Genomic DNA, 26,326 nt, shown 5'->3' with positions numbered 1-26,326 from the left:
GTGCCCAGCCAAAAATAGAAATTTATATTCTCACAAAAACATGTACATGAATGTTTATAGCAGCTTTACTTGTCATAATCAAAAACTGGAAACAACCAAAATGTCCTACAGTGAAACAAACTGTAGTACATCCATAGCATGTAATACTCTACTGTCAGGATTAAAAAGAAACCCACTGTTGGCACAGGCAGCACCGTGGCTGGATCTCAGGGGCATTATGCTGAGTGCAAAAAAGCCTCAAAGGGTCTTACACTGTATGATTCCACTTGTTCAACTAAAAATGACAGCTGTATAGAGATAGAGAACATATTAGTGGTTTCCACTAGTTAGAGAAAGTGGGTAAAAGATAGGTGGGTGGGAATATAAATCGATAGCAGGGAGATCTTTGTGGTATTATAACACTTCTATGTCTTGATTGTAGTGGTGGTGGTTACATGAATACACGTGTGATAAAATGCCATGTAGAACTACATATAACGTTGTGCCAATGTCAATATCTAGGTTTTAGTTTGATCTTTAGTTACATAAGATGTAACTATTGGGTGAAATTGGGCAAAAGAGTACACGAAACCTCTCTTAAATATCTTTACAACTTCCTTTGAATTGACAGTTTTTCAAAATAGAAAGTTGGGTTTTTGTAAATACATGAATTGTTGATATACACAACAAATCTCAAATGCATTATGCTACGTGAAAGAAGCCATATTCAAAAGGCTACATACCTACTGATGCCTTTTATATGACGTGCAGGAAAAGATAAAACTGTAGGACAGAGAATATACTGGTGGCTATCTGGGATTAGGAAATGGGGATCGACCACAAAGGGGCAGCATGGGGGAATTTTCTGGGGCAATGGAATGGTTGTGTATCTTGATGGTGTATTTGTCAAAATATATAGAACTATAAAAGTAAATTTTGCTTTATATGTATTAAATCAAAAAAAGAAACTCGTGCTCAAATAGAAATACATTTTCTGAGAACTTGCCTTTTGATGACTTTGAGAATTTTCTGGAAATTTTAAAGAAATGTGGTTTTGTTTCCCAACAGGTGATGCTATGAGTGAAGAAGACATGCTTCAGGCAGCTGTGACCATGTCTTTAGAAACTGTCAGAAATGATTTGAAAACAGAAGGAAAAAAATAATACCTTTAAAAAATAATTTAGATATTCATACTTTCCAACATTATCCTGTGTGATTACAGCATAGGGTCCACTTTGGTAATGTGTCAAAGAGATGAGGAAATAAGACTTTTAGCGGTTTGCAAACAAAATGATGGGAAAGTGGAACAATGCGTCGGTTGTAGGACTAAATAATGATCTTCCAAATATTAGCCAAAGAGGCATTCAGCAATTAAAGACATTTAAAATAGTTTTCTAAATGTTTCTTTTTCTTTTTTGAGTGTGCAATATGTAACATGTCTAAAGTTAGGGCATTTTTCTTGGATCTTTTTGCAGACTAGCTAATTAGCTCTCGCCTCAGGCTTTTTCCATATAGTTTGTTTTCTTTTTCTGTCTTGTAGGTAAGTTGGCTCACATCATGTAATAGTGGCTTTCATTTCTTATTAACCAAATTAACCTTTCAGGAAAGTATCTCTACTTTCCTGATGTTGATAATAGTAATGGTTCTAGAAGGATGAACAGTTCTCCCTTCAACTGTATACCGTGTGCTCCAGTGTTTTCTTGTGTTGTTTTCTCTGATCACAACTTTTCTGCTACCTGGTTTTCATTATTTTCCCACAATTCTTTTGAAAGATGGTAATCTTTTCTGAGGTTTAGCGTTTTAAGCCCTACGATGGGATCATTATTTCATGACTGGTGCGTTCCTAAACTCTGAAATCAGCCTTGCACAAGTACTTGAGAATAAATGAGCATTTTTTAAAATGTGTGAGCATGTGCTTTCCCAGATGCTTTATGAATGTCTTTTCACTTATATCAAAACCTTACAGCTTTGTTGCAACCCCTTCTTCCTGCGCCTTATTTTTTCCTTTCTTCTCCAATTGAGAAAACTAGGAGAAGCATAGTATGCAGGCAAGTCTCCTTCTGTTAGAAGACTAAACATACGTACCCACCATGAATGTATGATACATGAAATTTGGCCTTCAATTTTAATAGCAGTTTTATTTTATTTTTTCTCCTATGACTGGAGCTTTGTGTTCTCTTTACAGTTGAGTCATGGAATGTAGGTGTCTGCTTCACATCTTTTAGTAGGTATAGCTTGTCAAAGATGGTGATCTGGAACATGAAAATAATTTACTAATGAAAATATGTTTAAATTTATACTGTGATTTGACACTTGCATCATGTTTAGATAGCTTAAGAACAATGGAAGTCACAGTACTTAGTGGATCTATAAATAAGAAAGTCCATAGTTTTGATAAATATTCTCTTTAATTGAGATGTACAGAGAGTTTCTTGCTGGGTCAATAGGATAGTATCATTTTGGTGAAAACCATGTCTCTGAAATTGATGTTTTAGTTTCAGTGTTCCCTATCCCTCATTCTCCATCTCCTTTTGAAGCTCTTTTGAATGTTGAATTGTTCATAAGCTAAAATCCAAGAAATTTCAGCTGACAACTTCGAAAATTATAATATGGTATATTGCCCTCCTGGTGTGTGGCTGCACACATTTTATCAGGGAAAGTTTTTTGATCTAGGATTTATTGCTAACTAACTGAAAAGAGAAGAAAAAATATCTTTTATTTATGATTATAAAATAGCTTTTTCTTCGATATAACAGATTTTTTAAGTCATTATTTTGTGCCAATCAGTTTTCTGAAGTTTCCCTTACACAAAAGGATAGCTTTATTTTAAAATCTAAAGTTTCTTTTAATAGTTAAAAATGTTTCAGAAGAATTATAAAACTTTAAAACTGCAAGGGATGTTGGAGTTTAGTACTACTCCCTCAAGATTTAAAAAGCTAAATATTTTAAGACTGAACATTTATGTTAATTATTACCAGTGTGTTTGTCATATTTTCCATGGATATTTGTTCATTACCTTTTTCCATTGAAAAGTTACATTAAACTTTTCATACACTTGAATTGATGAGCTACCTAATATAAAAATGAGAAAACCAATATGCATTTTAAAGTTTTAACTTTAGAGTTTATAAAGTTCATATATACCCTAGTTAAAGCACTTAAGAAAATATGGCATGTTTGACTTTTAGTTCCTAGAGAGTTTTTGTTTTTGTTTTTGTTTTTTTTTGAGACGGAGTCTTGCTATGTCTCCCAGGCTGGAGGGCAGTGGCATGATCTCGGCTCACTACAACTTCCACCTCCCGGGTTCAAGCAATTCTCCTGCCTCAGCCTCCAGAGTAGCTGGGATTACAGGCGCCCACCACCACACCCGGCAGATTTTTGTATTTTTGGTAGAGACGCGGTTTCATCATGTTTGGCCAGGCTGGTCTCGAACTCCTGACCTCAGGTGATCCGCCTGCCTTGGCCTCCCAAAGTGTTGGGATTACAGGCATGAGCCACTGCGCCTGGCCAGCTAGAGAGTTTTTAAAGCAGAGCTGAGCACACACTGGATGCGTTTGAATGTGTTTGTGTAGTTTGTTGTGAAATTGTTACATTTAGCAGGCAGATCCAGAAGCACTAGTGAACTGTCATCTTGGTGGGGTTGGCTTAAATTTAATTGACTGTTTAGATTCCATTTCTTAATTGATTGGCCAGTATGAAAAGATGCCAGTGCAAGTAACCATAGTATCAAAAAAGTTAAAAATTATTCAAAGCTATAGTTTATACATCAGGTACTGCCATTTACTGTAAACCACCTGCAAGAAAGTCAGGAACAACTAAATTCACAAGAACTGTCCTGCTAAGAAGTGTATTAAAGATTTCCATTTTGTTTTACTAATTGGGAACATCTTAATGTTTAATATTTAAACTATTGGTATCATTTTTCTAATGTATAATTTGTATTACTGGGATCAAGTATGTACAGTGGTGATGCTAGTAGAAGTTTAAGCCTTGGAAATACCACTTTCATATTTTCAGATGTCATGGATTTAATGAGTAATTTATGTTTTTAAAATTCAGAATAGTTAATCTCTGATCTAAAACCATCAATCTATGTTTTTTACGGTAATCATGTAAATATTTCAGTAATATAAACTGTTTGAAAAGGCTGCTGCAGGTAAACTCTATACTAGGATCTTGGCCAAATAATTTACAATTCACAGAATATTTTATTTAAGGTGGTGCTTTTTTTTTTTGTCCTTAAAACTTGATTTTTCTTAACTTTATTCATGATGCCAAAGTAAATGAGGAAAAAAACTCAAAACCAGTTGAGTATCATTGCAGACAAAACTACCAGTAGTCCATATTGTTTAATATTAAGTTGAATAAAATAAATTTTATTTCAGTCAGAGCCTAAATCACATTTTGATTGTCTGAATTTTTGATACTATTTTTAAAATCATGCTAGTGGCGGCTGGGCGTGGTAGCTCACGCCTGTAATCCCAGCATTTTGGGAGGCCGAAGTGGGTGGATCACGAGGTCGGGAGTTCGAGACCAGCTTGGCCAAAATGGTGAAACCCCATCTGTACTAAAAACTACAAAAATTAGCTGGGCGCGGTGGCAGGTGCCTGTAATCCCAGCTACCTGGGAGTCTGAGGCAGGAGAATTGCTTGAACCCTGGCGACAGAGGATGCAGTGAGCCAAGATGGTGCCACTGTACTCCAGACTGGGCGACAGAGTGAGACTCTGTCTCAAAAAAAAAAAAAAAATCATGCTAGTGCCAAGAGCTACTAAATTCTTAAAACCGGCCCATTGGACCTGTACAGATAAAAAATAGATTCAGTGCATAATCAAAATATGATAATTTTAAAATCTTAAGTAGAAAAATAAATCTTGATGTTTTAAATTCTTACGAGGATTCAATAGTTAATATTGATGATCTCCCGGCTGGGTGCAGTGGCTCACGCCTGTAATCCCAGCAGTTCTGGAGGCTGAGGTGGGCGAATCACTTCAGGCCAGGAGTTCAAGACCAGTCTGGGCAACATGGTGAAACCTCGTTTCTACTAAAAATACAAAAATTAGCCGGGCGTGGTTGCACACACTTGTAATCCCAGCTACTCAGGAGGCTAAGAATCGCATGAGCCTAGGAGGCAGAGGTTGCAGAGTGCCAAGGGCTCACCACTGCATTCCAGCCTGCCCAACAGAGTGAGACACTGTTTCTGAAAAAAAAAAATATATATATATATATATATATGTGTGTATATATATATGTATATATATATGACTTCCTATTAAAAACTTTATCCCAGTCGGGGGCAGTGGCTCACGCCTGTAATCCCAACACTTTGGGAGGCTGAGGCAGGTGGATCACCTGAAGTCCGGAGTTTGAGACCAGCCTGGCCAACATGGTGAAACCCCATCTCTACTAAAAATACAAAACTTAAGCCAGGTATGGTGGCGGGCACCTGTAATCCCAGTTACTTGGGAGGCTGAGGCAGGAGAATCGTTTAAACCCAGGAGGTGGAGGTTGCAGTGAGCTGAGATCGTGCCATTGCACTCTAGCCTGGGCAACAAGAGTAAAACTCCATCTTAAAGGTTTGTTTGTTTTTTTTTAATCCGGAAACGAAGAGGCGTTGGGCCGCTATTTTCTTTTTCTTTCTTTCTTTCTTTCTTTTTTTTTTTTTCTGAGACGGAGTCTAGCTCTGCTGCCCAGGCTGGAGTACAATGACACGATGTTGGCTCACTGCAACCTCCACCTCCTGGGTTCAAGCGATTCTCCTGCCTCAGCCTCCCAAGTACCTGGGATTACAGGCACCTGCCACTACACCTGGCGAATATTTGTTTTTTTTAGTAGAGACGGGCTTTTACCATGTTAGGCTGGTCTCAAACTCCTGACCTCAGGTGATCTGCCTGCCTTGGCCTCCCAAAGTGCTGGGATTACAGGTGCAGGCCACCACACCCGGCCTTGGGCCACTGTTTTCAAAGTGAATTGTTTGTTGTATCGAGTCCTTAAGTATGGATATATATGTGACCCTAATTAAGAACTACCAGATTGGATCAACTAATCATGTCAGCAATGTAAATAACTTTATTTTTCATATTCAAAATAAAAACTTTCTTTTATTTCTGGCCCCTTTATAACCAGCATCTTTTTGCTTTAAAAAATGACCTGGCTTTGTATTTTTTTAGTCTTAAACATAATAAAAATATTTTTGTTCTAATTTGCTTTCATGAGTGAAGATTATTGACATCGTTGGTAAATTCTAGAATTTTGATTTTGTTTTTTAATTTGAAGAAAATCTTTGCTATTATTATTTTTTCCAAGTGGTCTGGCATTTTAAGAATTAGTGCTAATAACGTAACTTCTAAATTTGTCGTAATTGGCATGTTTAATAGCATATCAAAAAACATTTTAAGCCTGTGGATTCATAGACAAAGCAATGAGAAACATTAGTAAAATATAAATGGATATTCCTGATGCATTTAGGAAGCTCTCAATTGTCTCTTGCATAGTTCAAGGAATGTTTTCTGAATTTTTTTAATGCTTTTTTTTTTTTTGAAAGAGGAAAACATACATTTTTAAATGTGATTATCTAATTTTTACAACACTGGGCTATTAGGAATAACTTTTTAAAAATTACTGTTCTGTATAAATATTTGAAATTCAAGTACAGAAAATATCTGAAACAAAAAGCATTGTTGTTTGGCCATGATACAAGTGCACTGTGGCAGTGCCGCTTGCTCAGGACCCAGCCCTGCAGCCCTTCTGTGTGTGCTCCCTCGTTAAGTTCATTTGCTGTTATTACACACACAGGCCTTCCTGTCTGGTCGTTAGAAAAGCCGGGCTTCCAAAGCACTGTTGAACACAGGATTCTGTTGTTAGTGTGGATGTTCAATGAGTTGTATTTTAAATATCAAAGATTATTAAATAAAGATAATGTTTGCTTTTCTATTTCCTTTTGAATTTGTGTTTATTGTTAATTCATAGCTATTCAAAGTGTGATTAGAGCTGGGCTTGGTGGCTTGCATCTACAGTTCCAGCTACCCAGGAGGCAGAAGCAGGAGGATTGCTTGAGCCTAGGAGTTCGAGGCTGCAGTGAGCTATGATCCTGCCACTGAATTCTAGCCTGGGCGACAAAACAGGAAAAAAGTATGGATGGAGGACCAGCAGCATCTGTATCACCTGTGAGTCTTTCAGAAATGCAGAGTTTCAGGCTACACTCGGACCTACTGAATCAGAACTTGCACTTTTTACAAGATCCCCAGGACACTAAAGTATAGAGTGAAGCTTGAGAAGCGCTGTTGTGTGGATTGTTCTTAACCAGCTGCAGTGATGAATATGAATAACGCAGGCCAGCACAGTCCATTGATATTCTATTCCAGCTTACTGCCTGCCAAAAGGTCCATTATTACTGGATCCTCAGTCTTTTCCAAGAGAAGCTAAGAATTCCAAATTTTTATTTGAAATATATTTTTTAAATGTTTGTTCAACTGGCCCAGTGCCAGTGGCTCATGCCTTTAATCCTAGCACTTTGAGAGGCCGAGGTGGAAGGATCACTTGACCCCAGGAGTTTGAGACCAGCCTGGGCAACATAAAGAGACCCCATCTCTATTAAAAAAAAATAGAGACAATGCTGCCTTAAAAAAGTCAAATAAATGTTTGCTCAACTGATTTTTAATACTGAGGGCCAAACAAAGCACATCAAATTTTTAAGTGCTGCTTTTCCTCATTTTATCCAACTCTGGACACCAGAATCCAAATGTAGTGATTGGAATCCACCTAGACTGATTGAGGAATATATTGTCCTCAAATTTTATGAGGGTTGACTATTCATTTTAACTTTAATTAGGATTGGGCACAAATTTTGAAACATAATAACATTACAGGACCGGGGCCCGATCCAGACCCCAAGAGAGGGTTCTTGGATCTTGTGCAAGAATGAATTCAGGGCAAGTCCATAAATTGAAAGCTAGTTCATTAAGAAAGTAGAGGAATAAAAGAATGGCTACCCCATAGGTAGAGCAGCCCTGAGGGCTGCTGGTTGCCATGTCCACCCCCGCGCCCCCTCCCCCCGCTTTGTTGTTGTTGTTTAAGACAGAGCTTCGCTGTGTCATCAGGCTGGAGTGCAGTGGCATGATAGCTCACTGCAACCTCTGCCTCCCGCGTTCAAGCAATTCTCCTGCCTCAGCCTCCTGAGTAGCTGGGACTACAGGCGTGCACCACCACGCCCAGCTAATTTTTGTATTTTTAGTAGAGATGCGGTTTCACCATGTTGGCCAGGAAGGTCTCAATCTCTTGACTTCGTGATCCACCCGCCTTGGCCTCCCAAAGTGCTGGGATGAGCCACCTCGCCTGGCTGGTTATTTCTTGATGATATGCTAAACAAGGGGTGGATTATTCATGCCTGCCCTTTTTAGACCATTTAGGGTAACTTCCCGGCATTGCCATGGCATTTGTCAACTGTCATGGTGCCAATGGGAGTGTAGCAGTGAGGAGGACCAGAGGTCACTTTCATCACCATTTTGGCTTTTTCAGCCGGCTTCTTTACTGCAACCTGTTTTATCAGCAAGGTTTTTATGATCTGTATCTTGTGCAGACCTTCTATCTCATCCTGTGACTTAGAATGCCTTAACCATCTGGGAATGCAGCCTAGTAGGTCTTGGCCTCATTTTACCAACCCCCTATTCAAGATGGAGTTGCTCTGGTTCAAATGCCTCTGATATTTCCCTACTCCCTTTTATAAGAAAACCCTTAATCCTAAGGGTTGCAGAGGGATGAAGATCCATCTTCTGTATTCTTCAGGCTGAATAGGGGTGATGATATTCCTGCCTATGAGAGTCTCTTGTATTAGGGTAGAGAGGAGCTCAGTCAGTCAGTATGGCTCCCTATCCTTCCTCCCTTCCCCAGCCCCTGACAACTACCATTCTACTTTGTCTCTATGATTCTAAGTATCTCCTATAAGTGGAATCATTCAGTATTTGTAGGGTTTTTTTGTGACTAGTGTATTTCACTTAGCATGTCAAGGTTCATCCATGTTGTAGCATACGTCCAAATTTTCTTCTTTTTAAAAACTGAATAATATTCCATTGTATGATATATGCACATTTTGCTTATTCATTTATCCATCAAAGAAAACCAGTAGCTTTTTTACATACCGGCAGTAACCTGGTTAAAAAAATAAGATGGAAAATACCAAGCCCGAAAATGTCAAATTCTTGAATACCAGACAGGTACTATAATCCAAGCTGAGCAGAGAGGAATGGCCCTTGTCTCAGCCCTGAGCCACATGTCACTACATGGGCCCCAAGGAGCTCTTGTGCCCAGAGTCCTGCTAAGGCTCGTTCTTCACCCCTCTAAAGTGGCTCAAACTAGCGTAGGAGGCCAGGAGGGAGCAGATTCTATGCCACCTCCATTGCTTCCGTGCCTTCTCCAGATCCATTTTTTCCAAAAGCTGTGTTTGAATTCTGCACAGGGGCATCTCTGTCTCCAACACTGAAACCCCTTTTGCCAGACCCAGAGAAGATTTAACTGCCTTTTTTTTTGAGACAGGGCCTCGTTCTGTCACCTAAGCTGGAGTGCAGTGGCACGATCTTGGCTCACGGCAACCTCTGCCTCCTGGGCTCAAGCAATTCTCCTGCCTCAGCCACCCGAATAGCTGGGATTATAGGCGCAGGCCACCACATCCAGCTAAGTTTTGTATTTTTAGTAGAGACGCAGTTTTGCCATGTTGCCCAGGCTGGTCTAGAACTTCTGAGCTCAGGTGATCCACCCGCCTCGGCCTCCCAAAGTTCTGGGATGACAGGCATGAGCCACCTAACCTGGCCAGATTTAACTGCTTTGAGCCACCGTCTCACACATCTTCCAGGAGCTTCTAGTCAAATGCAGAGGATTAATAGTGTATAATTCCATTTACATAAGATCTTTGGAATAGTCAAACTCATAGAGACAGAAAGTAGAATGGTGGTTGCCGGGGGATGGTTGAGGGGAAAATTAGGAGTTGTTTAACGAGTATGGAGTTTCAGTTTGGGAAGATGAAAAAAGTTCTGGAGATGGACAGTTGTAATGGCTGCACAACAACGTGAATGTACTTAATGCCGGTGAACCGTATAACCATTTAACAACTGAAAATGGTTACAAAATTTTGTGTTATATATATCTTATCACAATAAAAAATATAGAGGATTGATCACTATATTTGCTCCCTTCCAAAATCTCACCTAGGTTAAAGTAAAGAAAAATATATAAACCCACAAGAACACAGGGACCAGGAGAGGAGATGCATTCATTGGATTACGTTTGGTTGTAAAAAAAACAAAAAATCCTCCCCGGCACGGTGGCTCACACCTTGTAATCCCAGCACTTTGGGAGGCTGAGGCAGGCGGATCACGAGGTCACGAGTTTGAGACCAGCCTGACCAACATGGTGAAACCTCATCTCTACTAAAAATACAAAAATTAGCCGGGTGTGGTGGCGTACGCCTGTAATCCCAGCTACTGAAGTGGCTGAGACAGGAGAATTGCTTGAACCCGGGAGGCGGAGGTTGCAGTGAGCCGAGATCACGCCACTGCACTCCAGATTAGGTGACAGAACAAGACTCCATCTCAAACAAAAACAAAAACAAAAACAAACTAATATAACAGTGACTTTACATGCTATGGGTTTTTTTTCTCCTCTCATCTTCAAGAAATGTGGAGACTGCCAGTCCGGGGATGATACAGCATCACAGTGTCAGGAATCTGCTCTTTCTGTATAATTGTTACAGGAAAGGGGTCCGGATCCAGACCCCAAGAGAGGGTTCTTGAATTCAGGGCAAGTCCACAGTGCAAAGTGAAAGCAAGTTTACTAAGAAAGTAAAGGAATAAAAAAATCGCTACTCCATAGACAGAGCAGCCCTGAGGGCTGCTGGTTGCCCATTTTTATGGTTATTTCTTGATGATATGCTAAACAAGGGGTGGATTATTCATGCCTCCCCTTTTTAGACCATATAGGGTAACTTCCTGATGTTGCCATGGCATTTGCAAACTGTCATGGTGCTGGTGGGGGCGTAGCACCAAGGAGGACCAGAGGTCACTCTTGTGGCCTTTGTGGTTTTGGTGGGTTTTGGCCAGCTCCTTTACTGCAACCTGTTTTATCGGCAAGGACTTTATGACCTGTATTTTGTGTTGACCTTGTATCTCATCCTGTGACTTAGAATGCCTTAACCATCTGGGAATGCAGCCCAGTAGGTTTCAGCCTCATTTTACCCAGCTCCTATTCAAGATGGAGTTGCAGCCGGGCACGGTGGTTCATGCCTGTAATCCCAGCACTTTGGGAGGTTGAGGCGGGTGGATCACAAGGTCAAGAGTTCAAGACCAGCCTGGCCAACATGGCAAAACCCCATCTCTACTAAAAATACAAAAATTAGCCAGGCGTGGTTGGTGTGCGCCTATTATGCCAGCTACTTGGGAGGCTGATGCAGGAGAATCACTTGGATCTGGGAGGCGGAGGTTGCAGTAAGCAGATATCGCGCCATGCACTCCAGCCTGGATGACAGAGCAAGACTCCGTCTCGGGGGAAAAAAAAACCAAAATGGAGTTGCTCTGGTTTACAGGCCTCTGACATAATGGCTTTATGTACATGGCTTCCATGGCTAGGGTCAGCTCATAGATCTAATATGGCTGTGTTGGTGCTCATGTTGCAGCCCAGCAATCAGAAAGAGAAAGGAGGCTGGGTTTGGTGGCTTACACCTGTCATCCCAGCATTTCGGGAGGCCAAGGCGGGAGGATCACATGAGCCCATGAGTTTGAGACCAGCTTGAGCAACACAGGGAGACCTCATCTCTACAAGAAATAAAAATAAATTAGTTGGGTATGGTGGCATGCACCTGTGGTCCCAGCTATTCGGGAGGCTGAGGTGAGAGGATACCTTGAGCCTGGAGGTTTGAGGCTGCAGTGAGCTATGATCGCACCACTGCACTCCAGCCTGGGCAACAGAGTGAGACCCCATCTCAAATAATTAAAAAAAAAAAAAAGAAAGAAAGAAAAAAAAAAGGAGAGCAGAAAAAGGCTATGTACCTTTTCTTTCGGGTTACCTTCTCAAAGTTGTGCATACTACTTCCGTTTACATTACATTGGCCAGAACTTAACATGACAACTACTAGCTACAAGGTGGTTTTTATTCTGGGTTGCCATGCATCTTAGCTTAAGTACCCTACAGGTCCTGAGATAATGATTCCTATGAAAATGATTATTTACTTATTTAATTAATTTATTTTGAGATGGAGTCTCACTCTGTCACCCAGGCTGGAGATCAGTGGCGTGATCTCGGCTCACTGCAACCTCTGCCTCCCAGGTTCAAGCAATTCTCCTGCTTCAGTCTCCCGAGTAGCTGGGACTACAGGCATGCGCCACCATGCCCAGCTTTTTTGTATTTTTAGTAGAGACGGGGTTTCACTATGTTGGCCAGGCTGATCTCGAACTCCTGACCTCAGGTGATCTGCCTGCCTCGGCCTCCCAAAGTGCTGGGATTACAGGCGTGAGCCACTGTGCCTGGCTGAAAATGATTTTTTAAAAGTGTTCCAGGAGGAAATGGAAAGGGCATAGGGGAGTAAGAAAGTGGAAATAGGAAAAGAAGGAAGCCAAGCAAGAGGAGCCTATCAAGCAAAGCCTCAGTCCTGCAGACAGTCTGGAGGCAGGATATTCACATCTTAGAGTTGTCCAAAACAGAACAGGCAAGCTGCATAATTTTCAACTCTGGCTGAATAAGGTTGCATTTCAGCTCTCTGGGCACCTGGAAAGTATGGGCTCCAGTAACCTGGAGGCAGTCTGCTGACTGCTGGCTGGTGTGCACAAAAGTGGTAAAGGGATGAGGGAGTGCAATATGGGCACTGGCATCTTGGCTGTCATGCATCCAGGTAAAAAGTGGAGGCTCAATTACTATATATGAAGGGGAGAACAGACTTTGGGGAACAATTAGCAGTCATTTCCAGGTGAGACAACAACAGAAGAGAAATGCTAATTTTTTTTTTTTTCTTTGAGATGGAGTTTCGCTCTTGTTGCCCAGGCTGGAGTGCAATGGCGCTATATCCAGCTCACCGCAACCTCCGCCTCCTGGGTTCAAGTGATTCTCCTGCCTCAGCCTCCCGAGCAGCTGAGATTACAGGCCACCACACCCAGCTAATTTTGTATTTTTAGTAGAGACGGGGTTTCTCCATGTTGGTCAGGGTGGTCTCAAACTCCCAACCTCAGGTGATCCGCCCGCCTCAGCCTCCCAAAGTGCTGGGATTACAGGCGTGAACCACCGCACCCGGCGAGAGATGCGAACATTTTTTTTGTTTTTTGGAGGATGACAAGTTGATGCAGGAATGAGCAGAACCAGGAGGCTGAATACTGAGTGTTAAAGAGTTCCTAGCAATATGCAGGAAAGGAAAGCAACAAGTATCCTGAGAGGTGGGGGTTAGATGTAGACTGAAATCAGGAGGTGTGGTTAAAACTCTTTGAAAGAGGCTGGGTGCGGTGGCTCACATAATCCCAGCACTTTGGGAGGCCAAGGCGGGTGCATCATGAGGTCAGGAGTTCGAGACCAGCCTGACCAACATGTGAAACCCCGTCTCTACTAAAAATACAAAAATTAGCCGGGCATGGTGGCGCATGCCTGTAATCCCAGCTACTAAGGAGGCTAAGGCAGGAGAACCGCTTGAACCTGGGAGGCGAAGGTTGCAGTGAGCCGAGATCATGCCATTGGACTCCAGCCCAGGCGACAGAGAGAGATCCCATCTCAAAAAAAAAAAAAAAAAAAAAAAAAAAGAAAGGAAAAGAAGAAAAGAAAAAAGAAACAGCAGATTCCCTAGAGAGGAGACATTCATCACTAAAAAAAAAAAAAAAAATTAAAATAAATCGCAGAAGTAAAAGCCCTTTTTGAAAGGGCTCAGGGTACCCAGCTTAATGTATGAAACAAAAGCAAACCCACATCAAAGCACACCATTATTAATTTCAGAGCATCAGAAATAAAGAGAAGATCTGACAAGCTTCTTGGAAGAAAACAAGGCATAGAGAATAATCAGAGTAGAGTAGAGCAGGAAAACAGAGTCCTGGGTAGAGCGAACTGAGCCTAGCCAATCGATAGAATTCTTGATGTTTTGTTGAAAACAGAAGCACTTTACAATTCTCTTGGTAAGTTTTAGAAAGATTCTGTAGTAATGGAAAATTGTACAAATTTAAAAAATGGAATCTGTTAACTTCAGGAAGAACAAAAGGTAGAAAAATCAAGGCAATATAATCTTGGTACAACATTTGACTTAGCTGCAATGAATAAGACTTACATAGTCATAGAAGGTAAACACTGATTACTTACTTTACCAAAAATTATGATATCATCATATTGAAAGCCCAGAAGGAAGGGAAATAAAGGGAAATACAAGAGTGCTAAATCTTTTATTTTTCAATAAGTTGGTAATGTCTAAAATTAATAAGAAAATGGCAACCATAAGCCTAATGCTTAGAAATTCAGAAAAGTATCAGACTAAATTTTAAAGTCTACTTTAAACTGAGTCTTTGCTTTATAGTTGCATAAATAAATTCATTTTGATGGTTTTCTCAGAACAGATGAACTGGCTGGGTGCGGTGGTTCATGCCTGTAATCTTAGCACTTTGGGAGGCCAAGGCCGATGGCTCACTTCAAGTCAGGAGTTTGAGACCAGCCAAAAAATTAGCCGGGTGTGGTGGTGCACGTTTGTAATACCAGCTACTCAGGAGGCTGAGGCAGGAGAATCGCTTGAACCTGGGAGGCGGAGGTTGCAGTGAGCCAAGATGGAACGACTGCACTCCAGCCTGGGTGACACAGTGAGACTCCGTCTCAAAAAAACACAAAGAACAGATGAACTGTTTTCCTTTGAGGAATATTGATGATCCCACTGCTTGAGTAATGGAAACCAGCTTGCAGCTGATAGTTATTTTTTGTCTTTTTTCCTGTTCTATCCACTGTCCTAGGTTTGGAATTTCAGCTGGGCAGCTTCGATCCCACCACCTGTAGCCACTGAGGTTCACAGGCTCTGTTTGAGGTGTTGTGTTAGATTGTGCTGGGTTGGTTTTGCTGCTTATTGAGTGATGAAGAGCAACATATTAGCTACTGAGATATTTTGCAGAAAAAGGAAGAGATGTCTTCAGCTCAAATGCTATCAAACTTGTATGTCTTTTAACTTTTTATTATAAAAAATTTCAAACATATGCAAAAGCAAAAGACTAGTTTAATGAACCTTATGTACCCACCACCCAGTTTCAACAATTATCAGTTCCTGACAATTCTTGTTTCACCTATCCCACCTCTATTATACACACATACAAACACACAGACACCACACACACACACACACACACACACACGAGAGCAAAGTCAACTTCCATTATTTTGAAGCACATCCAAGACATCACATCACATTATTTATCACATTATTTATTAAGTTTCTTCAGTCACAGTCCATCTCACAGAAAGAAATCCCCCATGAGAAACTTTTAGGACATAGCTTTTATGTTAATTACTTAATTTCTGCACTAGCCATCCTTGCCTGCCTTCTAATTTTCTGCACTAGCTATCCTTACCTTCCTTCTAATTTTCTAACCTGCCAAGGATTCTGCTGCCTCAAGGTATTTGTTTCTTTCTGCCTGGATTGCTCTTTCGCAGATACTTACATGTCTCATTCTTTTTCACCCAGGTGAAATAAACAGCGTTGTTGCTCACACAAAGCCTGTTTGGTAGTCTCTTCACATGGACGCGTGTGACATTTGGTGCTGAAGACCCGGGACAGGAGGACTCCTTCAGGAGACGGGTCCCCTGTCCTTGCCCTCACTCCGTGAGGAGATCCACCTACGACCTCGGGTCCTCAGACCAACCAGCCCAAGGAACATCTCATGAATTTCAAATCGGGTAAGCGGTCTTTTCCATCCTCTCTTGCTACCCTTCAATCTCCCTCTCTCGCTACCCTTCAATCTCCCTGTCCTTCCAATTCCAGTTCTTTTTCCTCTCTAGTAGAGACAAAGGAGACACATTTTATCCGTGGACCCAAAATTCCGGCGCTGGTCACGGACTCAAGAAGACAGTCTTCTCTTGGTGTTTAATCACTGCAGGGACGACTGCCTGATTATTCACCCACACTCCATTGGTGTCTGATCACCGTGGGGGTGCCTGTCTTGGTCATTCACCCACATTCCCTTGGTGGCAAGTCAATTGCGGGGACGCCTGCTTTGGCTGCTCACCCACCCCCTTCTCCGTGTCTCTACCTTTCTCTTTAAACTTACTTCCTTCACTATGGGCAACATTCCGTCCTCCATTCCCCCTTCTACTCCCTTAGCCTGTGTTCTCAAGAACTTAAAACCTCTTCAACTCACACCTGACCTAAAACCTAAAAGCCTTATTTTCTTCTGCAATACCGCTTGGCCCCAATACAAACTCAACAGTAGTTCCAAGTGGCCAGAGAATAGCACTTTGGATTTGTCTGTCCTACAGGATCTAGATAATTTTTGTTGAAAAATGGGCAAATGGTCTGAGGTGCCTCAGATCCAGGCATTCTTTTACACACTGGTCCCTCCCTAGTCTCTGCTCCCAGTGCGACTCATCCCAAATCTTTCTTCTTTCTCTCCTGTCTGTTCCTTCAGTCTCCACCCCAAGCTCCGAGTCCTTTGAATCCTCCTTTTCTATGGACTCATCTGACCTCTCCCCTCTTCCCCAGGCTGCTCCTCACCAGGCTGAGCCAGGTCCCAATTCTTCCTCAGCCTCCGGTCCCCCACCCTATAATCCTTTTATCACCCCCTCCTCACACCGTGTCTGGCTTACAGTTTCTTTCTGTGACTAGCCCTCCCCTACCTGCCCAACAATTTCTTCTTAAAGAGGTGGCTGGAGCTGAAGGCATAGCCAAGGGTAATGCTCCTTTTTCTTTATCTGACCTCTCCCAAATCAGTTAGCGTTTAGGCTCTTTTTCATCAAATATAAAAACTCAACCCAGTTCATGGCCTGTTTGGCAACAACCCTTGGACACTTTACCGCCCTAGACCCAGAATGGCCAGAAGGCCGTCTTATTCTCAACATGCATTTTATTACCCAACCCACTCCCGACATTAGAAAAAGCTCCAAAAATTAGATTCCGGCCCTCAAACCCCACAACAGGACTTAATTAACATCACCTTCAAGGTGTACAATAATAGAGTAGAGGCAGCCAAGTAGTAACGTATTTCTGAGTTGCAATTCCTTGCCTCCACTGTGAGACAAACCCCAGCCACATCTCCAGCACACAAGACCTTCCAAATGCCTGAACTGCAGCGGCCAGGCATTCCTCCAGGACTGCCTACCCCAGGATCTTGCTTCAAGTGCCGGAAATCTGGCCACTGGGCCAAGGAATGCCCCCAGCCCAGGATTCCTCCTAAGCCATGTCCCATCTGTGCAGGACCCCACTGGAAATCGGACTGTCCAACCCGGCAGCCACTCCCAGGGCCCCTAGAACTCTGGCCAAAGGCTCTCTGACTGACTCCTTCCCAGATCTTCTCAGCTTAGCAGCTGAAGACTGATGCTGCCTGATCGCCTTGGAAGCCCCCTGGACCATTACGGATGCTGAGCTTTGGATAACTCTTACAGTAGAGGGTAGGTCCATCCCCTGTTTAATCGATATGGGAGCTACCCACTCCACATTACCTTCTTTTCAAGGGCCTGTTTCCTTTGCCCCTATAACTGTTGTGGGTATTGATGGCCAGGATTCTAAACCCCTTAAAACTCCCCCACTCTGGCACCAACTTGGACAACATTCTTTTATGTACTCTTTTTTAGTTATCCCCACCTGCCCAGTTCCCTTATTAGGCCAAGACATTTTAACCAAATTATCTGCTTCCCTGATTATTCCTGGACTACAGCCACATCTCATTGCCACCCTTCTTCCCAACCCAAAGCCTCCTTCGCCTCTTCCTCTCGTATCCCCCAACCTTAACCCACAAGTATGGGACACCTCCACTCCCTCCCTGGCAACCGATCAAACACCCATTACTATCCCATTAAAACCTAATCACCCTTACCTGGCTCAATGCCACTATTCCATCCCACAACTGGCTTTAAGAGGACTGAAGCCTGTTATCACTCGCCTGCTACAGCATGGGCTTCTAAAACCTATAAACTCTTCTTACAATTCTCCCATTTTACCTGTTCAAAAACCGGACAAGTCTTACAGGTTACCTCAGGATCTGGATCTTATCAACCAAATTGTTTTGCCTATCCACCCTGTGGTGCCCAACCCATACACTTGTTTGTCCTCAATACCTTCCTCCACAACTCACTATTCCGTTCTTGATCTCACAGATGCTTTTTTCACTATTCCCTACACCACTCATCCCAGCCTCTTTTGCTTTTACCTGGACTGACCCTGACACCCATCAGTCCCAGCAGCTTACCTGGGCTGTACTGCCGCAAGGCTTCAGGGACAGCCCTCATTACTTCAGCCAAGCTCTTTCTCATGATATACTTTCTTTCCATCCCTTCGCTTCTCACCTTATTCAATATATTGATGACCTTCTACTTTGTAGCCCCTCCTTTGAATCTTCTCAACAAGATACTTTTCAACATTTATTCTCCAAGGGATATCGGATGTCCCCCTCCAAAGCTCAAATTTCTTCTCCATCCGTTACCTACCTCAGTATAATTCTTCATAAAAACACATGTGCTCTCCCTGCTGATCATGTCTGACTGATCTCTCAAACCCCAACACCTTCTACAAAACAACAACTCCTTTCCTTCCTGGGCATGGTTGGATACCTTTGCCTTTGGATACCTGGTTTTGCCATCCTAACAAAACCATTATATAAACTCACAAAAGCAAACCTAGCTGACCTCATAAATCCTAAATCCTTTCCCCACTCCCCTTTCCATTCCTTAAAAAACAGCCCTAAAAGCTGCTCCCACACTAGCTCTCCCTAACTCATCCCAACCCTTTTTTCATTACACACAGCTGAAATGCAGGGCTGTGCAGTTGGAATTCTTACACAAGAGCCAGGACCATGCCCTGTAGCCTTTCTGTCCAAACAACTTGACCTTACTGTTTTAGGCTAGCCCCCACATTATTCCTGATACCACACCTGACCCCCATGACTGTATCTCTCTAATCCACCTGGCATTCACTCCATTTCCCCATACTTCCTTCTTTCCTATTCCTCACCCTGATCACACTTGGTTTATTGATGGCAGTTCCACCTGGCCTAATCGCCATTCACCAGCAAAGGTGGGCTATGCTATAGTAGTATCTTCCACATCTATCCTTGAAGCTACCGCTCTGCCCCCCTCCACTACCTCTCAGCAAGCTGAACTCATTGCCTTAACTCGAGCCCTCGCTCTTGCAAAAGGACTACATGTCAATATTTATACTGACTCTAAATATGCCTTCCATATCCTGCACCACAATGCTGTTATATGGGCAGAAAGAGGTTTCCTCAGTACGCAAAGGTCCTCCATCATTATTGCCTCCTTAATAAAAACTCTTCTCAAGGCCGCTTTACTTCCAAAGGAAGCTGGAGTCATTCACTGCAAGGGCCATCAAAAGGCATCAGATCCCATCGCTCAGGGCAATGCTTATGCTGATAAGGTAGCTAAAGAAGCTGCTAGCTTTCTAACTTCTGTCCCTCACGGCCAGTTTTTCTTCTTCTCATCAGTCACTCCCACCTATTCACCGACTGAAACTTCCACCTATCAATCTCTTCTCACACAAGGCAAATGGTTCTTAGACCAAGGAAAATATCTCCTTCCAGCCTCACAGGCCCATTCTATTCTGTTGTCATTTCATAACCTCTTCCATGTAGGTTACAAGCCACTAGCCCACCTCTTAGAACCTCTCATTTCCTTTCCATCATGGAAATCTATCCTCAAGGAAATCACTTCTCAGTGTTCCATCTGCTATTCTACTACCCCTCAGGGATTATTCAGGCCCCCTCCCTACCCTATACATCAAGTTCAGGGATTTGCCCCCACCCAGGACTAGCAAATTGACTCTATTCACATGCCCTGAGTTAGGAAACTAAAATACCTCTTGGTCTGGGAAGACACTTTCACTGGATGGGTAGAGGCCTTTCCCACAGGGTCTGAGAAGGCCACCACAGTCATTTCTTCCCTTCTGTCAGAAATAATTTCTCGGTTTGGCCTTCCCACCTTTATACAGTCCGATAACGGACTGGCCTTTACTAGTCAAATCACCCAAGCAGTTTCTCAGGCTCTTGGTATTCAGTGGAACCTTCATACCCCTTACCGTCCTCAATCTTCAGGAAAGGTAGAACGGACTAATGGTCTTTTAAAGACATCTCACCAAGCTCAGCCTCCAACTTAAAAAGGACTGGACAGTATTTTTACCTCTTGCCCTTCACAGAATTAGAGCCCGTCCTCGAGAAGCTACAGGGTACAGTCCATTTGAACTTTTATATGGACGCACTTTCTTGCTCAGCCCCAACCTCGTTCCAGACACCAGCCCTCTAGGCGACTATCTTCCAGTCCTCTGGCAGGCTAGACAGGAAATCCACCAGGCTGCTAATCTTCTCTTGTCTACTCCAGATTCCCAACTATATGAAGACACCCTAGCTGGACGATCAGTTCTTATTAAGAACCTGACCCCTCAAACTCTACAACCTCGATGGACTGGACCCTACTTAGTCATCTATAGTACCCCAACTGCCGTCCGCCTGCAGGATCCTCCCCACTGGGTTCACCGTTCCAGAATAAAGCTGTGCCCATCGGACAACCAGCCTAATCTCTCTTCTTCCTCCTGGAAGTCACAAGTACTCCCCACTACTTCCCTTAAAGTCACTCTCATTTCTGAAGAACAGTAATAACCCTTATGAGCCTAATACATCCCTTCATTCTATTAGCTCTATTCATCCTTACCCTACTTTTTGCAACAGGGCTTTACACAGTCACCCCCCCTACTTGGACTGAACCCCAAAAACTTGTCATCCCTACTATCTTCTGTTTACTCATACTCCCATTCACTATTCTCAACTACTCATAAATGCCCTAATCTTGTTTACATTGCCTGTTTACACTGTTTCTCTAAGCCATCACAGCTGGTATCTCCTGGTGCTATCCCCAAACCGCCACTCTTAACTCCCTCTTAGAGTGGATAGATGATATTTGCTGGCAGGGCAACCTCCAATATTTTCACTCTGATGAAGTTCTATTCTTTACTTTTATACTCACTCTTATTCTCATTCCCATTCTTATGCCACCCTCTACCTCTCCCCAGCTATCTCCACCACACTATCAATCTTACTCTCTCCTAGCCGTTTCTAATCCCTCCTTAGCGAATAATTGCTGGCTTTGCATTTCCCTTTCTTCCTGCACCTACACAGCTGCCCCCGCCTTATATACAGACTGGGCAACATCTCCTGTCTCCCTACACCTCCAAATTTCCTTTAACAGCCCTCATCTTTACCCTCCTGAAGAACTTCTTCACTTTCTAGACAGGTCCAGCAAGGCCTCCCCAGACATTTCACATCAGCAAGCTGCCGCCCTCCTCCACACTTACTTAAAAAACCTTTCTCCTTATATCAACTCTACTCCCCCCACATTTGGATCCCTCACAACACAAACTACTTTTCCTGTGGCTGCTCCTTTATGTATCTCTCAGCAAAGACCCACTGGAATTCCCCTGGGTAACCTTTCACCTTCTTGATGTTCATTCACTCTTCATCTCCAAAGCCCAACTACACACATCACTGAAACAACTGGAGCCTTCCAGCTCCGTATTACAGATAAGCCTTTTATCAATACAGGCAAACTTAAAAACATTAGAAGTAATTATTGCTTAGGAAGACACCCTGTATTTCACTCCATCCTTGGCTACCTTCCCCTTGCTCGTCAGACCCTCCTCCCAGGCCTTCTTGTTATACCCAGCCCCGTAAATAACAGTGAAAGGTTGCTCATAGACACTCGACGTTTTCTCATACACCATGAAAATTGAACCTCTCCCTCTACACAGTTACCCCATCAGTCCCCATTACAACCTCTGACGGCTGCCGCCCTAGCTGGATCCCTAGGAGTCTGGGTACAAGACACCCCTTTCAGCACTCCTTCTCATCTTTTTACTTTGCATTTCCAGTTTTGCCTGGCACAAGCTCTCTTCTTCCTCTGTGGATCCTCTACCTACATGTGTCTACCTGCTAACTGGACAGGCACATGCACACTCATTTTCCTTAATCCCAAAATTCAATTTGCAAATGGGACCAAAGAGCTTCCTGTTCCTCTCATGACACCGACATGACAAAAAAGGGTTATTCCACTAATTCCCTTGCTTGTCGGTTTAGGACTTTCTGCCTCCTCTATTGCTCTCGGTACTGGAATAGAAGGCATTTCAACCTCTGTCACAACCTTCCATAGCCTCTCTAATGACTTCTCCACTAGCATCACAGACATATCTTAAACTTTATCAGTACTTCAGGCCCAAGTTGACTCTCTGGCTGCAGTTGTCCTCCAAAACTGCCAAGGCCTTGACTTACTCACTGCTGAAAAAGGAAGGCGCTGTGTGTATGTGTGTGTGTATATATATATATATATATATATATATATATTTTTTTTTTTTTTTTTTTTTTTTTTTTTTGAGACGGAGTCTTGCTCTGTCACCCAGGCAGTGGCGCATCTCGGCTCACTGCTCACTGCAAGCTCCACCTCCTGGGTTCATGCCATTCTCCTGCCTCAGCCTCCCAAGTAGCTGGGACTATAGGCGCCTGCCACCACGCCCGGCTAATTTTTTGTATTTTTTTAGTACAGACAGGGTTTCACCATGTTAGCCAGGATGGTCTCGATCTCCTGACCTCATGATCCGCCTGCCTCGGCCTCCCAAAGTGCTGGGGTTATAGGCGTGGGCCACTGCGCCCGGCCGGGCTCTGTATATTTTTAAATGAAGAGTGTTCTTTTTACCTAAATCAATCTGGCCTGGTGTATGACAATATAAAAAAACTCAAGGACAGAGTCCAAAAACTTGCCAACCAAGCAAGTAATTATGCTGAACCCCCTTGGGCACTCTCTAATCGGATGTCCTGGGTCCTCCCAATTCTTAGTCCTTTAATACCTGTTTTTCTCCTTCTCTTATTTGGACCTTGTGTCTTCCGTTTGGTTTCTCAGTTCATCCAAAACCATATCCAGGCCATCACCAATCATTCTATATGACAAATGCTCCTTCTAACAACCCCACAGTATCACTCCTTACCACAAAATCTTCCTTCAGCTTAATCTCTCCCACTCTAGGTTCCCACACCACCCCTAATACCGCTCGAAGCAGCCCTGAGGAACATCGCCCATTATCTCTCCATACTACCCCCCAAAATTTTCACCACTCCAACACTTCAACACTATTTTGTTTTATTTTTCTTATTAATATAAGAAGACAGGAATGTCTGGCCTCTGAGCCAAGGCCTGCATGTATACATCCAGATGGCCTGAAGGAACTGAAGAATCACAAAAGAAGTGAAAATGGCTGATTCCTGCCTTAACTGATGACATTACCCTGTGAAATTCCTTCTCCTGGCTCAGAAGCTCCCCCACCAAGCACCTTGTGACCCCCCCGCCCCTGCCTGCCAGAGAACAACCCCCTTTGACTGTAGTTTTCCACTACCCACCCAAATCCTATAAAACTGCCCCACCCCTAACACCCTTTGCTGACTCTCTTTTGGGACTCAGCCCACCTGCACCCAGGTGAAATAAACAGCTTTATTGCTCACACAAAGCCTGTTTGGAGGTCTCTTCACACGGATGCCCGTGACAAGTGCCTGCCACCACATCCCACTAATTTTTGTATTTTTAGTAGAGATGGGGTTTCACCATGTTGGCCAGGCTGGTCTTGAACGCCTGACCTCAGGTGATCCACCTGCCTCGGCCTTCCAAAGTGCTGAGATTACAGGCGTAAGCCCCTGCACCCGGCCCTGTTTTTTTTTTTTTTTTTTTTTTTTACATCCCGGAGTCACACTGGATATCTGAATGTGCTTAAAATAAAATTCACATCTCATTCTGGAAGTGTTTATTAAATGCTGTCCCTGCATTCATGTGAACATCACAGCCCAGCGGTTAGATGTGCAGACTCCAACGCCTGACTGCCTGGGTCTGTCACTTACTAGCTGTATGACCTTGGATGGGTTACTTAACATTTCTGGGCACTGGTTTCTCATTAGTAAAATGAAGAATGGGCGCCTGTAGTCCCAGCTACTTGGGAGCCTGAGGCAGGAGAATCGCTTTAACCCGGGAGACGAGGTTGCAGTGAGCCTAGGTCCCGCCATTGCACTCCAGCCTGGGCCACAGAGCGAGGCTCCATCTCAAAAAATAAAATTTAAAAAAAAAAAATTCAGCTTTCACGGAGAATTACTACTGCCTGGTGCCATCAGATCCCAAATACTGGAGGCATTCCCAATGTTCTGTTCACAAACTGTGCAATCTGTGATAGCCCCTCTTGTGAATATAATCAAAGTGAAAGATGCCAGTATACTTATTGCTATGCTTAAAAGAACTGCAGATCTATCATATCCTTTTGAAACCAAAAAATGTGGAAGTCTCCCTGGCTAGATGCTGTGTGTCCACGTATCCTGCACCAATTGCTTGAAAGTCACATGACAACCTTTCTTCCTTTAGGGAAGGAAGCAAGCAAGGTAGGACTCTGTGTGTTACAGCCAGTGTGGGTAACTAAGGACTGAGGGAGGTGTGGGCACTTGCATAGCTAGTGCCGCCAATACCATAGGAGCGTTGACACTAAACGGCACTTCTCTATTAAGTTGCCCTGCTGTCTTCTAACGAGTCATTTTGAAAAACGGTTGTCCGTTTTTCAACTACTTGGGTGAGGGCAGCTTCATGAAAAAAGCTCATCGTATGTTAAAGAAGGTAGGGTTTCAATTGTGAGCTATAAAGCCACCAGAGGAGATTTCTCCTATAGAAGGAAGGTGTGTTTCCTGCTTGGACACCTGAATTTGCAACCCATCCTTTCTTTTTTCCTTTTTCCTTTTTTTTTTTTGCAACCCATCCGTTCTATCTTTGTAGCCTCAGCTCCTACCATAGTGCCTGTCACGGAGCAGCTAATCGACACAGTGACGCGTGTAAGTTATTTGAAGCCACTTCCTGCGCAGTGGAACGTCCCCGCCAAGTCTCCCGGCACTGCTGGGTGTAGTCCCAATTAAAACACTAGGTTTCAACAACACAAGGAGGGTCCGCAGGGTCCCCGGACTACCCACCAAGGGTCGGCTCTGCTTTGAAACGCAGCTGCAGGAGGCCGAGGAGCGCCGCGATGCCCCAGTTATCCAGGCCATTCCTTCCCCGGCCGAAGCTGGCCGCCTGCATGCACCTAACCTTGCGCTAGGCACTGGCTGCGGTTAATCCAGCCCGCGCTCGGTCCTCCGCGATCCCAGCCTCCCTTGCGCCAAGGACACGTCCGGCGGCTTCGCGGGGCCTGTCTACGCCACCGCGGCGCTTTTCTATGATCCGCTGCCGCTTTCCGAGCGAGTGTCATGGCGGCCGGCGTCGAGTTGGCAGGAGTAACCCACGGAACTGAGGAAAGTCATTAGAGCTGAGAAAGAAGTGGCCCAATCTGGACGGTGGGAATTCGTGGGAATGAGCAGAAGGCCCTCCGTAGGTGACTGTGTCACTAGAGGCGGGCCCCTGGTAAAATTCCAGGCCAGGCCTCTGCGTTTCTAGGCAGAACCTGGAGTCGGCCTTGCCTGAGAACCCAGCTTTGTGTTATCGTATCCTGTCTCGCGAAGGCAGGCGTTCAAGGATATTTGGTCGGATCGCCCGGCGGCGCTAAACGTTTTCTTTTTTCCGAGCGGACCGGGTCGTTCTCTAAACTCGCCGCGATGTCGTCCTGGCTTGGGGGCCTCGGCTCCGGATTGGGCCAGTCTCTGGGTCAAGTCGGGGGCAGCCTGGCTTCCCTCACTGGCCAGATATCAAACTTTACAAAGGATATGCTGATGGAGGGCACGGAGGAAGTGGAAGGTAACAGCTGGAGCGAGGGAAGGGAGGGCTTTTCTAAGACCCTGGGAACGTCCGTTTGGTCCCTACTTCCATCAGTCAGGAGACGCGGACAGGTCGCAAAGGAATGCTGCTCCTCCCTTTTTTCTTCACACACCTCCTCTTGCCTCTTCTCAACAGATTTTCTATGATGAAAGACCACTGGGGGCCAGGGGAAGAGTCCTGGTTCTCCTCTCTTTAAATATTCTGGATATCTCAAAGTACAGTAGAGTGAAACTGCTCCTACGTTAAGTCGAGTTTATTTTCGTTTGGTTGATCCACGCCCACCACTTTGCCCTCAGTTTGGGGGCTGATCTCATTCTTAACATCTTCCTGTATTCTGACCCAGTTTAAAGAATTGTATATCTGTTTTCTATTTTTGTAACAGTTGAAATA

The 26,326-nt window shown here is 43.7% G+C and overlaps 2 protein-coding genes and 1 long non-coding RNA gene across 38 annotated transcripts in view, besides 5 other annotated features; 2 read left to right on the top strand and 1 right to left on the bottom strand.

Annotated features, from left to right (window-relative positions):
* The window catches only part of ATXN3 (ataxin 3), a 61,808-nt gene extending 41,121 nt beyond the window's left edge, over window positions 1-20,687 (top strand). For 31 of the 33 annotated variants that reach the window (NR_031765.2, NR_028466.2, NR_028463.2 and 28 more), the window contains one exon: window positions 1,048-6,910. Coding sequence is in view for 7 of the 33 variants with exons in the window: in NM_001164779.2 (NP_001158251.1) it covers window positions 1,048-1,142 (95 nt within the window). In the remaining 26 variants the exon portion in view is untranslated. Of the gene's footprint in view, window positions 1-1,047; window positions 6,911-6,946; window positions 7,144-14,925; window positions 15,122-15,647; window positions 15,860-20,503 lie in introns of those variants that run through there. The other 2 variants (NR_187583.1, NR_187584.1) reach the window with 1 other exon arrangement.
* Window positions 2,098-25,298, bottom strand: LOC124903363 (uncharacterized). The gene is made up of 2 exons (XR_007064308.1): window positions 25,159-25,298; window positions 2,098-2,231 (listed from the first exon to the last, which is right to left on the bottom strand). It is a non-coding gene; the product is annotated as an uncharacterized LOC124903363 (long non-coding RNA).
* Window positions 10,951-11,151: a silencer, noted in NCBI's record as "peak2236 fragment used in MPRA reporter construct". NCBI's record gives its function as "represses an SCP1 promoter by STARR-seq MPRAs in K562 erythroleukemia cells {active_cell/tissue: K562}" and the evidence as "EXISTENCE:reporter gene assay evidence [ECO:0000049][PMID:32103011]".
* Window positions 19,270-19,470: a silencer, noted in NCBI's record as "peak2235 fragment used in MPRA reporter construct". NCBI's record gives its function as "represses an SCP1 promoter by STARR-seq MPRAs in K562 erythroleukemia cells {active_cell/tissue: K562}" and the evidence as "EXISTENCE:reporter gene assay evidence [ECO:0000049][PMID:32103011]".
* Window positions 24,616-25,403: an enhancer, noted in NCBI's record as "NANOG-H3K27ac-H3K4me1 hESC enhancer chr14:92506403-92507190 (GRCh37/hg19 assembly coordinates)". NCBI's record gives its function as "activates a minimal SCP1, AML or CMV promoter by ChIP-STARR-seq in primed H9 embryonic stem cells {active_cell/tissue: H9 hESC(primed)}" and the evidence as "EXISTENCE:reporter gene assay evidence [ECO:0000049][PMID:30033119]".
* Window positions 24,616-25,661: a biological region, named in NCBI's record as "NANOG-H3K27ac-H3K4me1 hESC enhancer GRCh37_chr14:92506403-92507190".
* Window positions 25,352-25,661: an enhancer, noted in NCBI's record as "active region_8926". NCBI's record gives its function as "activates an Ori minimal core promoter by ATAC-STARR-seq in GM12878 lymphoblastoid cells {active_cell/tissue: GM12878}" and the evidence as "EXISTENCE:reporter gene assay evidence [ECO:0000049][PMID:35858748]".
* Window positions 25,403-26,326, top strand: part of TRIP11 (thyroid hormone receptor interactor 11) — a 74,069-nt gene continuing 73,145 nt past the window's right edge. For all 4 annotated transcript variants that reach the window (XR_943560.3, XR_001750598.3, NM_001321851.1 and 1 more), the window contains exon 1: window positions 25,403-25,915. Coding sequence is in view for 2 of the 4 variants with exons in the window: in NM_001321851.1 (NP_001308780.1) it covers window positions 25,777-25,915 (139 nt within the window). In the remaining 2 variants the exon portion in view is untranslated. The remainder of the gene's footprint in view (window positions 25,916-26,326) is intronic.

Source organism: Homo sapiens, chromosome 14 (genome assembly GCF_000001405.40).
Source record: "Homo sapiens chromosome 14, GRCh38.p14 Primary Assembly".
Classification (NCBI taxonomy): domain Eukaryota; kingdom Metazoa; phylum Chordata; class Mammalia; order Primates; family Hominidae; genus Homo; species Homo sapiens.
This window is presented reverse-complemented; position numbering and strand designations above follow the sequence as displayed.